The following is a 13,268-nucleotide window of genomic DNA, read 5'->3' on the forward strand; positions in this document are numbered from 1 at the left end:
ACACATTGTAAGAAAAGTCAAGGTGAGAAAATTTCATAGAGAAAGGAAGCATAAGGTCAAATCTTGCAAAACTGATAAGAATATAAATATATTCATTGAATTTGTTCATTAGAAATTCATCTCTGGTTTTCTCTGAACCAAATCTTGAGATAAGTACTTGAGTTACAGGTAGATTATTGGGAGCTGATCCTAGGAAGCCAGATAGAAGGTATGGACAACCACAACAGGCAAAGAAGAGAATTCAATAAAGGTTATGGCTCTGACTCTTTGGGTCCCTGTGCTGCAGGTAGCCCTCTGAGGAAGCAAATATTAAGCACCTCACAATGGTCTCAACAAAGGGCTGACAGCTGAGGGCTACCACTGCTAGTGGTTCCAGGTTTCCCCAGGGTCACTAACTCCCAAATACTTGAGAGTGGGGACTGAGCAGCAGCCATAGCTCAGAGAAAGCCCTGATGCAGAAAGCTGAAAGATTTGGCAGGCACTGGAGGTGGAATGCCATCAGTGTGCACAGAAGCTATAGTAAAACTAGCTGCAATGTAAGTTAAATGTGGGTGAAGGGTAGGTTGCATGGATACACAAGGAATGTCATGGGTTCGCTCAGAGAATAGGTTCAGAGACAGAGAGCAAGACTGAGACTTCATTGCCATGAAGTAAGGAAATTAAAATTTTGGATGGGCGATGATATAGTTGACTAAATTGAGACTGGGCCTGGAGGAACTGGGCATATTCAAAGAATGAATTTCACAACTGATTAGCATTGGAGGGAAGAAGTAGACCTGTTCATGTGGCGTCACACATACCCATAGATATTTGGGTTATAATGGTTTCCGGAATATAGGCAGTGGAGGAGGAAACATAAATTAGCAGCAGTAGGAAGATGAGGCTTGGTTGAAATGAATTTTTTGTGAACATGTTTATAGGCATTCATTCATTTATTCAAAAGCATTTTTGAATGTTTACTGCTCAATTCTGAGCTATGCTTTAAAGTTGCTATGGTGAATATAACAGGTGTAGTCAGTCCCTCCTTCATGAAGATTGATATCTAGTCTAGGAGAAAAAAATTACTAAAACAGCACTCATGATAACTTACTTATTATATGATCACTACCACAAAGGAACAATAGAGTATGCTATGAGAGCAGATAGTCAAAGAACCTCGCCTAGTGAAAATAGAGTGAGAGATGAAATAATAATAGATGGAGAATTATCTACCCTGAGGTAGCACCTGTTCTTCCTTTTCAATTTTGCTTTTTTCTCATTAATATTTACCTTATTAGCATTTATTTTAGTTTGCTTAAACATATCTTCAAGTAAAAATAAGAATAAATTGTAAATAATTTTATTTTGCTCACCACTTGATTGAAAGTCTGACGAAGTGTTTTCAAATCAAAACTGTTTTTTCTATGAACTTTATTTCCATTTTTGAATTCAGTTTGGGTAATGAGAATTTAATGCGAAACTGATGCTCACTCTATTACTTATCATCTTCATCTATCTTGCCCCTTTCCCCTTCTGCTGTAAATCCTTAGTAGCTTTTCTTTTTCTCATTGTATTCTTAAATTTTAAAATGATGGGTTAGAGTGTTTTACTTTACCTTTCTTGGTAGTCTATGTGTTTATTTTATTTTAATTTTTATCTTTTAAATACAGAGTCTTGCTCTGTTGCCCAGGCTGGAATGCAGTGATGCAATCACAGCTCACTGAAGCCATGAACTCCTAGGCTTGAGCTATTTTCCTGCCTCAGTCTCCAGAGTAGTTGGGACTAAAGTCATGAGCCACCACATCTGGGTAATTTTTATTGTATTTTTATTTTTGTAGAGATGGAGGTCTCACTATATGGCCCAGGTTGGTCTTGAATTCTTGGCCTCAAGTGATCCTCCCACTTTGGCCCCCCAAAGTGCTAGAATTATAGGCATGAGCTACCATGCCTGGCCCAGTCTATGTTTTAATGCTTGAATTTGTAGGGGTTTTTTGTTGTTGTTGCTGTTCAACTGTGGAAAATTTCATTAGGAAGTTTTATTGTATCGGTTTCTCTTCTTGATTTTCTCTTTTCTCTCTTTGTGAAATGCCTCCAGTATGGATGTTAATTCTTCATTAATTCTGTCTCTTCAGAATTCTCTAATGTTTTATGTCATTAGGAGCATTCCTAGATTTTTAATTTTTTTCTTCTTACAGCTATTTTTTTGCAATTGATTGAATATTTGATATATTCAAACTGTATGTGTTATAGAGGCAAAGCTTGAAGCATAATAACTATAACCCAAGACCCAACTTAAAAAGTAAAATGTTATCGATACTAGTAAAGTTAACTCTGGTTCTCAGCCCACACCTATTATCCCTGTAGAGGTTGAGACTATTATAAACTTTCTTCTTAATACACCTCTTGCTTTTTTTGTAGTTTTACTAAGTAATTACATATTGCTGAACAATGTATGTTTGGTTGTATATGTTTTAGACTGTATAAAAATAATGTATTCATAACATTTTGCAGTACACTTTTTTCAGTTAATAGTTTTTTTTTTTTGAGACGGAGTTTTGTTCTTGTTGCCCAGGCTGGAGTACAATGACACAATCTCGGCTCATTGCAACCCCTGCCTCCTGGGTTCAAACGATTCTCCTGTCTCAGCCTCCCAAGTAGCTGGGATTACAGGCGCCCAGCACCATGCCCAGCTAAGTTTTTTTGTATTTTTAATAGAGATGAGGTTTCACCATGTTGGCCAGGCTGGTCTTAAACTCCTGACCTCAGGTGATCTGCCCACTTCGGCCTCCCAAAGTGTTGGGATTACAGGCATGAGCCACTGCGCCCGGCCATATTTTTAAGTTCCGTTCATTTTGCTACATGTGACTATAGTTTGTTTCACTTTGTGCAGGAAATTCTATCATATGAATGTATAAGACTGTTAGGCAGAGAGTGTCAGCTTAAGTAGAGACTGAAATCAAGTCCAAGCTACTGCTTACAAACTCCAAGTGTCAGTCCAGTGGAGGGATACCTTTTGTAATCATCGACCCAGGGGGAGAACTCTTCTTGGATTTTGTGCAAAGGTTCCATATAGAGTGAGCAATGAATGAGTTTTTTCCACAATTGGTTTATTCTGTCAAAGCGTCTTAAACTATTGTTTTTTGGGGCCATTTTTGTTTTGGTTTTGTGTTCTTTTTTATTTTTGATGAATAATGCTTTTATGATTTTTTTTGTACCTATTTCCATGTGCAAGTTTTCTTTCTATGTATAAGCCTCTTTACAGAAGAATGGCTGAGTGATAACACATGTAAACATTCAACACTACAAGAAAATACCTAATTAGGTTTACCAATTTATATTTCTATCAACAGTTTGTGAGCATTCCCATAGTTTCATAACTTTGTTGCCTGTGATGTTGTCAGAATTTTTAAATTTTGCCAATTACTATTGAATTTGACAGCATTTCTATAAAATAATTGGTCACCTTTTCAATGTTCATGAAAAAATTTATTAAAATTTTTATTGGAACTCCATTTAATCTATACATCATTTTAGGAAAAATTGATATGTTTTATTTAGTCAACCCAACTAAGGAAATAATTAGTCTGTTTATTCTGTTATTCTTTATTGTTATTGCTCTAAAGTTTTAGAATTGTCTTCATAAAGATCTTGCATACTATTTGTTAGATTCATTAATATGTTCTTATTGTTTTGTTATATTCATTCATATGTATTTTTTGCATTTTATAAAATTATATTCTAATTATTTTGCTCTAATATAAAAATATAATTGACTTTGGGGAAATGACCTTATGACCACAAACTTTGCTAAATTCCCTTATTATTAATAATTCTGGATTATTTTTGAAGTTTCTAAGTACATGAAATCTGTGAATAGCTGCCACTCTGATTCTTTTGGACTTTTAATATATTCGGCTTTAATTTTTGCTTTTTTAAAGTGGTATTTAATACCTGTATAGTACAATGTTAAATGAAAGAAGTGAAATGTGGCCGTTTTGTTTTGAGCTGCATCTTTAAATAGTTTCTAATTTTTTTTCTGTTCTTGTTTTATTTTGTTTTTTAAGCAATCAGCATTATTTTGCTTTAGAATTCTTCAGGTACCCTTGACCAGGTCTTTAATGTTGTGTCTGCTTATAAGTATGCTTCGTGTCAACCACTGTTATAAGGCTTTTACCTATATTAATTCTTATAAGTATTTCAGTAGATCTATGGGTTAACTACTGGTTTGTTAAAAGCTTTTTATTATAATACATGTGGTATGTGGTATTTTATTTAAAGCCTCATGTCATCTCTTTTGAAAACAGTATCCTTTATTCTTCTTAATCAGTTAATAAATTAGAGTATACTTATAGATTTTTTCAAAAAGTGAAAGCATACTTGCCAATGAGATAGTTCCAATTGATCCTGAAATATCGTCTTTATATATATTGTTAAATTTTGCTTCCTAATATTCATTATTTACAATTACATTTATGAGAGTGATTGCTCGATAATTTTCTTTTCTTTTTTCCTTTTACACAGCTCTTTTTTGGTTTGTATCAAACATATATCATCTTCACAGGGTAAACTGGGGAGTGTCCTTTTTCCCCACCGAGTTATAGAAAAATTTGGAAAGGATTGGAATTACGTAGTAATTGTTTGCTAGCAGTTTCTAGTGAAAGATCTCAGATTCTGTATACGTGTATATTTGTGTGTATTTTCAACTATAGCTTCAATTTTGTAAGAATTAAAGAAAGGAAAGAAACATGAAAGGTGGCTTGCCAGTTAAGACAGTTTATTTTAGAGAAAACAAACATGAGGGGAGCTTCTGGCTGAGTTAGGTTAGAGGCCCACTCTTTTACAGACTAATAGTTTTTAAGGATTTAGGGTGGGAGAGTTTATTAGAGGCTTGGGCTGCCTCTGTTTTTTTTTTTTTGTTGTTTTGTTTTTGTTTTTGTTTTTCTGTGCTAATTTGGGAGGGAGAGTTGTATGTTTCTTTCCTAGATTTTTTTTTTTTTTCAGCTGAAGGCATACCCCCTAAGTCTGCTTTTAGCTTTTCTATTTTAGTGCACCTGAAGGGAAAAGAATGTCCTTATTAAGGCCGACTGTTTTACTTGGGCCCATTGTATGAGGAAGTTTGGCGGTTACCCAAGAGACTTTTCCCCCATCTCCCTCTGTGTTTGAGTTGTCTTATCCGTATTTTACTGTCTGCCCTTTCTGGATGCTTGTAGTTAGAAGAGAAGTGGTTTCCTTGAAATGCATGAGGCTAGAAAGGGAGCTGGAACTTAAAGTGGTGATGTTTGTCCAAGATGACAGTGCTCCTGCTCTGTCAAATTTTATGAATAATTATAGGACTACATACTTTCTGTTTCTTCTTGAGTCAGTTCTGTAAATCATATTTTCCTAAGAATTTGTCTATTTCATGTAAATGTTCAAATGTGCTGACATATGATGGTTTATGATATTATCTCTCTCTCTCTTTTCTTTTTTTCCATTCTGTTGCTGGATCTAGAGTGCAGTGTGGCAATCATAGCTCACTGCAGCCTGGACCTCCTGGGCTCAAGCAATCTTCCCACCTCAGTGGGTGCATGCCACCATGCATGGCAAATTATTTTATTTTTTATATTTTGCAGAGACGAGGTCTTGCTCTGTTCCCCAGGCTGGTCTCAAACCCCTGGGCTCAAGCAATCCTCCTGCCTCAGTCTCCCAAAGTGCTGGGACTCCAGGTGTGAGCCACTCAGACTGGCAGTGTTCTCTTTTTAATGGTATTCTTCTTGTATTTTTAATCTTTTTAAATATTTATTTCCCTTTTTACTTATATGTTGCTTCTCCCTCTTTTTCTTGAACAAACTTGCCAAAGATTTGTATATTTTGTCTTTTTTTTTAAATTTTATTATTATTATACTTTAAGTTTTAGGGTGCATGTGCACAATGTGCAGGTTAGTTACATATGTATACATATGCCATGCTGGTGTGCTGCACCCATTAACTCATCATTTAGCATTAGGTATATCTCCTGATGCTATCCCTCCCCCCTCTCCCCACCCCACAACAGTCCCCAGAGTGTGATGTTCCCCTTCCTGTGTCCCTGTGTTCTCATTGTTCAATTTCCACCTATGAGTGAGAACATGCGGTGTTTGGTTTTTTGTCCTTGTGATAGTTTACTGGGAATGATGATTTCCAATTTTTTTGTCTTTTTATAACATCAACTTTTCACATTTTTATTCTTCTCAATTATATGTTTATTTTCCAATCATTTCTATTCTTATACTTTTTTCTTTGTATTTTATTTAACATTCCATGCTGATTCTCTTGATATTTCCTCTGGCAACTTCTCATGGCGCTTATTTCCTTGTGCATTGTTAGTGTGTATATATATGTTTGGGTGTATTTATTTTGAGGTCATATTTACTGTGATTCTGTGCCTTCTTGTCCTTTAGGTTTGGGTATAAGAAGCATTCTTTCAGGATAGACAGTTTATTTGCTTCTGTCTAGCATCTGAGGTACTACATTAAATTAAAAACCCAGGTCTTTGGTTTTGGAAAGCACATAACTAATGTAAAGCTAGCCTCTAAATTCAATTGCAGACTAGTTAATAGATAAAAATTCAAGAACCACAACTTGTAGACACAACTAGTAGACACAAGTTCAAAACCACAATTTGGCTTTTTGATCAAGAACCTTAGAGAAGATGAATAATCTTTTTATTTATGTCTTTTCTTTTGCACTAGTTCTTTCCTTCTGAGAGGTTGCAGACCTTCCTTAATCATTGTTAATTCCTAGTGGAAGCTAGTCAGTTCTCTACCTGTTAAAGTGTTATGAAGCTTCAATTACATAGTCTCTGTGAGTGTCCCCAGGGTATATCATGGCTTCACTGCTGACTTTAATCCCTGGATGCTAGCTCTTGTTGTTTGTTTGGTTTCAGATTATTACTCCTTTTCCCTTTCAAATCACTCATTAGAGCCTTTAAAATATATTTTACTTATTCATCCCTGCCAAGTACTCCTTCATCCCCATTGACACTACCTTGTTCCCTAGCTTTGTATCTATGCCTTGTTTGGAATATCTGAAAACCTTCTGATCAGTCTCCCTCCTTCCAGTCCAATTCACACAGTGCCACCCAAGGACATTACCTTAAAAACACACCCTGTCACTCTCCTTCCTTACAACCTCTGTGGAGAGTACTCTATCCATGGCCTTCTGAAATCTGTTCCAACCTCTCTCATCAATTTCACCTCCTGCTGTCCTTCCCACATTCCCGCATTTTAGCCACCTCCTGAACTTGGAATTTAAGTTGTGAGCTTTTTTTTTTTTTTTTTTTTTTTGAGATTGAGTCTCACTCTTATTGCCCAGACAGGAGTGCAGTAGCACGATCTCGGCTCACTGCAACCTCCGCCTCCCAGGTTCAAGTGATTCTCTTGCCTCAGCCTCCCCAGTAGCTGGACTGCAGGCACCCACCACACCTGTCTAATTTTTGTATTTTTAGTAGAGATGAGGGTTCGTCATGTTGGCCAGGCTTGTCTCGAACTCCTGACCTCTGGTGATCTGCCTGCCTCAGCCTCCAAAAGTGCTGGGATTACAAGCGTGAGCCACCGCACCTGGCTAAACTTTTTTACATTATTAGATATTTGAGGGATTTTAGGATATCTAGTTTGTCTTGTTGCTAGAAAAAGAAATAGCAGTCATATATTTTAATTTCTAAGATTTCTGTCTTTATGAGTCTTCTTTTTGTTTTTCCAGAAAGCTTTTTCTCGATTCCTCATCATACTGTATTTTTGTACTTTTCTGAGAATAATCACTATAATTTTGTTTTTACTTCTGTTTTGTCCTTTAAATGATCTTTCATTCCCTCCACCTCGGTTAGTTTTTTGTTGTTGTCCATCTGAGCCTTTTTTCATGCAGTTAGTTTTCCCAGATGTCTGGTACTCTTTGGTTTTCTTTTTTATACTTATAAATGCAGGACTAGTTAATCAATATAGGTGGCTTGTATGAGCCTGCTCTTTTGGTGTATATACCTCTTTCTTCAAAATGTATTTCTCTGTAAAAGGGAAGAAAGTGTGCTTTGTGCTTGGGCAAATGTATAAATTAGAAGGCTTCATTTTGTGATAATATATGAAACAGTCATTTATATTCATGGGTGAGATTTGCTCTCAGAGGCCATCATGTATCCCAGAAACCCTTCACACTGTATTTTGTTTGCTTCAAGAGTTATTGGGGAAGCAGCTTATGTAGTCATTTCGTATTAAGTTTTTAATTAGTTACCTTAATATTCACCTTATTTCCTATTGCTGGTCCCCATACCTGCCGTTGCCAAGCTTGGAATCTTCTTATGGTTCTCTCAGGAAGAGCAGCCCACACATCCGTTGAAGGCTTCTGTATGTTTTCTGGATTAGAGCTTCTTCCAGTCTGCTTTATGCTTCCATCTTCCAGAAATATGTCAAAATTTCTATCTTCTGATAGCCCTTATTCCATTCTCACACATATAATTTTCTCTGGTTTGTTCCTGTTCTCTGTCATGTCCATGAGATTTGGGGAAAGAAGGGTGGGATCAATGTAAATGCTCAGTGTACCGTAATGAATTAAGTTCCTGAGGACCTAGTCAATATAATTTGACTTTTTTAAAATCCTAGCAGTAGTTATCTTAAGGATATAAATTTTAAAAAATGTTTTAATGAGTTTTGAAAGCAGTATAAAACTAAAGTTTGAAATTGCTACAGAAATTAATTACATAGAATGGTGAAAATGTATAGCATTTTCTTAAAAATAACAAACATCAAAGTGAAATTTATCAGATATATAAATAATCAGAAGAAAAATATCCATTGCAAGATTAGTGTTTTATCTACTGATCACATTATATTTGTTGTACTGTGCCCTGAAAATTGCTGAAACAAGTTGGCCTTTTTTGAGACGTAGAGTTAGTGAATTGAAGCGACTTTTTTTCTATAATGGGATTTGACTTACCTATCTTAAGTGAAAGTTTTTTCCATAAAGAGAATATCAAGTTTCCCTTACCAGTTAGATTTTTATTTGGGAGGTAGCACAGAATAATTAGGGAGGCCTAGATTTAAATAAATCCCATCTCTGCCACCCAAAAGACTATGCAAATGCTTTAAGTCTCAGTATCCTCATTTGTAAAATAATAGAGCAGAATTTCATCTTTCTGGGGGATTCGTTTCTACAATACAAATGATAGAAATCAGATACAACTAGATTTATCCTTGGAAATTTCTTAAATGTCTATTCTATATAGACATACTGTTCTTTCGTAAATCCAACATAACAATTACTTTTCTATATTGAAATGTATCACCACTTCTTCATTGGAACCATGGATAAGTAAATTGGTTTATGTTTACAGATGATGTTATCTGAAATATATGTACTTTTGAAGAGTAAATTTAACATGTCAGATGTTATGAGACGAATAAAAGGAAAAATATATTTAAGTCTGACAAATTATGTTCCTTTTGCGACACATGTTCTTTGAGTGGAATAAGGGCAGATAATTTTTATGTCTATGTTGTTTTCTTCTTTCTCTCACTGTAATTTTTTTAATTTGCTGAGTAAATGTATTTGATTTTGAATATATTGAAAGTATGTATGATGTTACCACACTGTACCTAGTTTATTGTTTTGCTGTTAGGATTAAATAGGCCATGTGATGTGTTTAGAAGTTTTAGGTACTAAGTGATAAATAAATGTTGGTTTTTCTTATTGGCATCAATATTATTTTTAATTGTTCGCTGAAACAAAATAACAAATATAAATTTACTGGTTTAGACAATTACATTACTTTGCCATTATATATTTCAGTATTTCACTTATGAACTTGCATTATCTAAGACTTTCTTCTTAGATATAAGTGCTCGATTTTCATTTTATAGACAAGGGATACTATATTTACAGATAATGAAGAAATATCAATTATCCGTTTTCTTACAGAAAGACTACATTTGAATTCATATTCTTAAATCTTACTATTAATATTGGTTAAAAATAGCCACCACATTTGATCTACCTACTAATTTGTATGCATACCATTTTGTTAAAGAGCAGCTAGATTGCCTGCATTGAGATTTTGGCTCTATTACTTACTAGCTTGACAACATTATGCAACTTCCTTAGCCTCCTTGTACTTCCATTCCTCTCTTATAAAACTGCAATAATGATTATAATGGTTTTTACTTCGTAGGATTTTCTTGGGAATTGTATATTTATAAAGGACAGAGCTTAGTAGTTGTTTTTTTTATGACACCATGTTAATCACTCCCATTGACTCATTTAATTCTCACACAATCCTCTGAAGCAGGCAGTAATATCCCCATTTTGTAGATAGGAGAAATGAGGTTTCCAAGAGCTTACACATCTTGTACAAGGACAAAGAATTGGAAGAGTTTGAAGATGGAATTTTAACCTAGGACTGCCTGCATTACTGTGAACTACATTGAGTCCTTACCTGAGGGCTTCTTCAACCAAAATATGGTGCCACATTAAACAATAAATTAGTGCTGGTCAATAATGTGAAGAGTAGAAGATTGTTTCATAAATACAACAGTTAGCATTTCTAAGTCTCCACTTAAATCAGAGAAAAGAAAAATATTTACATTGAAATATGAGATTATTAACCCAAATAGAAAGGGGATTTATTAATGTAAGGATTTGTTTACTTTGGAATGGGGCATTGAAGAAAATGTGTATTTTTTCTAGAAAGATTGGTAGGGTATTTGATTTTAATTGGGTTCATTTAATAGTAACACTATTGGGTAGTTATAAGCATGGCCTTTTCCCCTAGAAAGACTTGGGTTCAAATTATGATGCTGTCACTTAAAAACTCTTGTATTAAAAGCTCTCTGAACTTCAATTTCTCATCCAGAAATTGTGTATGATATCACTGGGGTGGTCGAAAGAATTAAATCCCCCAGCAATGTGCCTGGTGTGGAGTACACTCTTGGGAAAACATTAGCTTATTACAAAGGGAGGGAGAGAGGGAAGGGGGCAGAGAGACAGAAAGGGGAGCGCAAGCCAGAGAGAAAAAGAGACAAATCCTCTCAGTCTTGTCTAATTCCACAATACTGTGATGTGGTTTTGAGAAAATTCAAGGTGTTTGTGTTAATAGGGTTGGCTAAGTAAATACACACTCTAAACATCAAGAACCAAGATTATGAAAAATTCAAAAGTTTTTAATCAAAGTTCCATTAAAGATTTGTATTTCCATTGTCTACTCCAACACATACACATACACACACAAGTTTGCACAAATGCACACACACACCACAAAAAAACAAACAATAAAACCCTAAGATTCAATGAAAACAAGTCAAGTCTGTCAGCCATTATTATGGTAAATGTGGTATATGTTCTTATGCACCCAGCCTAAGATGCCTCAGATAGTGATTAAGATTTCAGGCTCTGTAGTCTAACAGTTTGGGCTTGATTGTCTTCACCTCTCATCCTGTGTGTCCTTAGTCAATTACTTACCCTCTCTGTGTCTTGTGTCCAGGATAAAGTAGGAATCACAATAGAATGTATTCCATTGGGTTATTCTGAGGTTTAATTACATTACACATCTTAAATGTTTTGTTTAATCCTAATACTTAGTAATTATTTAATAAATATACTGGCTATAACTATTAAAAATAGAGACAATGCATGTCTCAATTTACTTTACAGAACTGTCAGGTCCAAATTAAATAAATATATATTTATGCCATTTTGATAAATGAAGATTAAGTAAAATGAGATATTAGCATTTAATGTTGCTTTGCATACAGCTATTCTCAGAGCTGGAAGTCTTTCTTACTTTCTGTTTATCTGATATTTTCATTTCTAGGACAACATTTCAAGTATATAGTCACATGGCTTCTGGTTAACTGTTTCCAGTGTCAAGAATCTCTTTATTTTTTGTAGCAACCCATTTCGTTATAGAATACATTAGCTTTTTGCATATTAAATTAATACACATTTCTTTGTAACTTGCACTGATTATTCTTAGTTCTAGCCTTGTTACCATACCAAAAAACCACAAACAAACAAACAAACAAACAAAAATAACAGCAAAGTGTGTTCTGGGTACTACTGATGTATAACAAACCACGGAACAAGTTTGCAGTGTAAAACAGACACACTGTTTTGCTATTTTGTGGGTGAGGAATTTGAGGAGTGTTCTTTGGGCACACCTTTTGCTCCTTGTGGCATTTCCTGAGAGCAGAGTTGTCCAATATGTTGGATGGACTGGTCTGGAGGGCCTGAGATGGCATCATTCACATGTCAGGTGCATTAGTGAGGATGGACTGAACTGTAAACCTGAGTGTGTATATGTAGTCTTTCTGGCATCTTGGCCTCAGGGTATAGTTGGACTTCTTAAGTGGTAGCTGGTTTAGTTTAGAGCAAACATCTCAACAGCATCAAGTTACGTGGTCTTTTCTGACCTTCTCTCAGAAGCTACTTAACAACATTCCAAGCTCCTCCATTGGTCAAAGCAGTCAGAAGCCCACTCAGATGAAGAGGGAGGGGACACAGAACCTGCCTCTTGATGGGAGGAATGTCAAAAAATGTGAATGTGGAAAGGGGCATGTTTTCATACTACCATACTTGACCTGTCAGCAGGCCTCTGGCTGAGGGACCTCAGCCCCTAGACAGAACAGAAAAGCCTCTGCTTATGGCACAGAGGTTTACAAAACTCTCTGTTTAGACTGGTGTCCAAGTCACAACTTGAGGGGACAGAAAGGTAGTTGCACCTCAGCTGGTCTTCTCTGAATGAATTATCCCTTGTCATAGGGGACTCTGTACAAATGCAGCCATAATTCTTGTCTATTGAAAAATTAAATCTTCAGAGCAAAGTTGTTTTGACATTGTTCTACAGATAACATTCAAAACCCTGCACAATCTCAATATTATAACAACAAAACACAAACAGGAAATAGAGACACAGACTCGTTTTTTTCTAATCGCAAATAGAAATTATCCTTGCTAATTACAAAGGCTTATAAAATTCCACTGGTGTTTACACATGGCTGACTGCTTCACTGGCAGCAGGAAGCAGTCTGATGTGGAGAGTTGGGTAGACCTTTGCTTCTGATGTCCAGAATCTAGGAATCTGAGCAATCAAAGCTAGAAACATTTGTGTCCTAAAATATGAGAGTGATCTTTATGGTTACCACATGACAGAAATGACCCACAATGGGACATAAGCTTCCATTTCTCCCTGAGTTTCTACCAAGGTATTCTAATTGTCTATGATGAATTGGCATCTTATATTGCTGGTTTGTAGTTGGAATCTAAAAGAAAATTAGGTTAAGCCACAAGAC

The 13,268-nt window shown here is 35.5% G+C and overlaps 2 long non-coding RNA genes across 3 annotated transcripts in view; one reads left to right on the forward strand and one right to left on the reverse strand.

Moving 5' to 3' along the window:
- The window catches only part of LOC105376604 (uncharacterized), a 46,463-nt gene that overhangs the window by 31,389 nt on the left and 1,806 nt on the right, over window positions 1–13,268 (reverse strand). The window contains exon 2 of one of the 2 annotated variants that reach the window (XR_007062638.1): window positions 8,233–8,468. The exons of the other annotated variant lie outside the window; for it this stretch is intronic. This is a non-coding gene — a long non-coding RNA (uncharacterized LOC105376604). The remainder of the gene's footprint in view (window positions 1–8,232; window positions 8,469–13,268) is intronic. 2 annotated transcript variants of the gene reach the window in all.
- LINC02742 (long intergenic non-protein coding RNA 2742) overlaps window positions 1–13,268 on the forward strand; it is a 162,086-nt gene that overhangs the window by 23,719 nt on the left and 125,099 nt on the right. The gene's annotated exons all lie outside the window — the stretch shown is intronic.

This window comes from Homo sapiens, chromosome 11 (assembly GCF_000001405.40).
Source record: "Homo sapiens chromosome 11, GRCh38.p14 Primary Assembly".
NCBI lineage: Eukaryota > Metazoa > Chordata > Mammalia > Primates > Hominidae > Homo > Homo sapiens.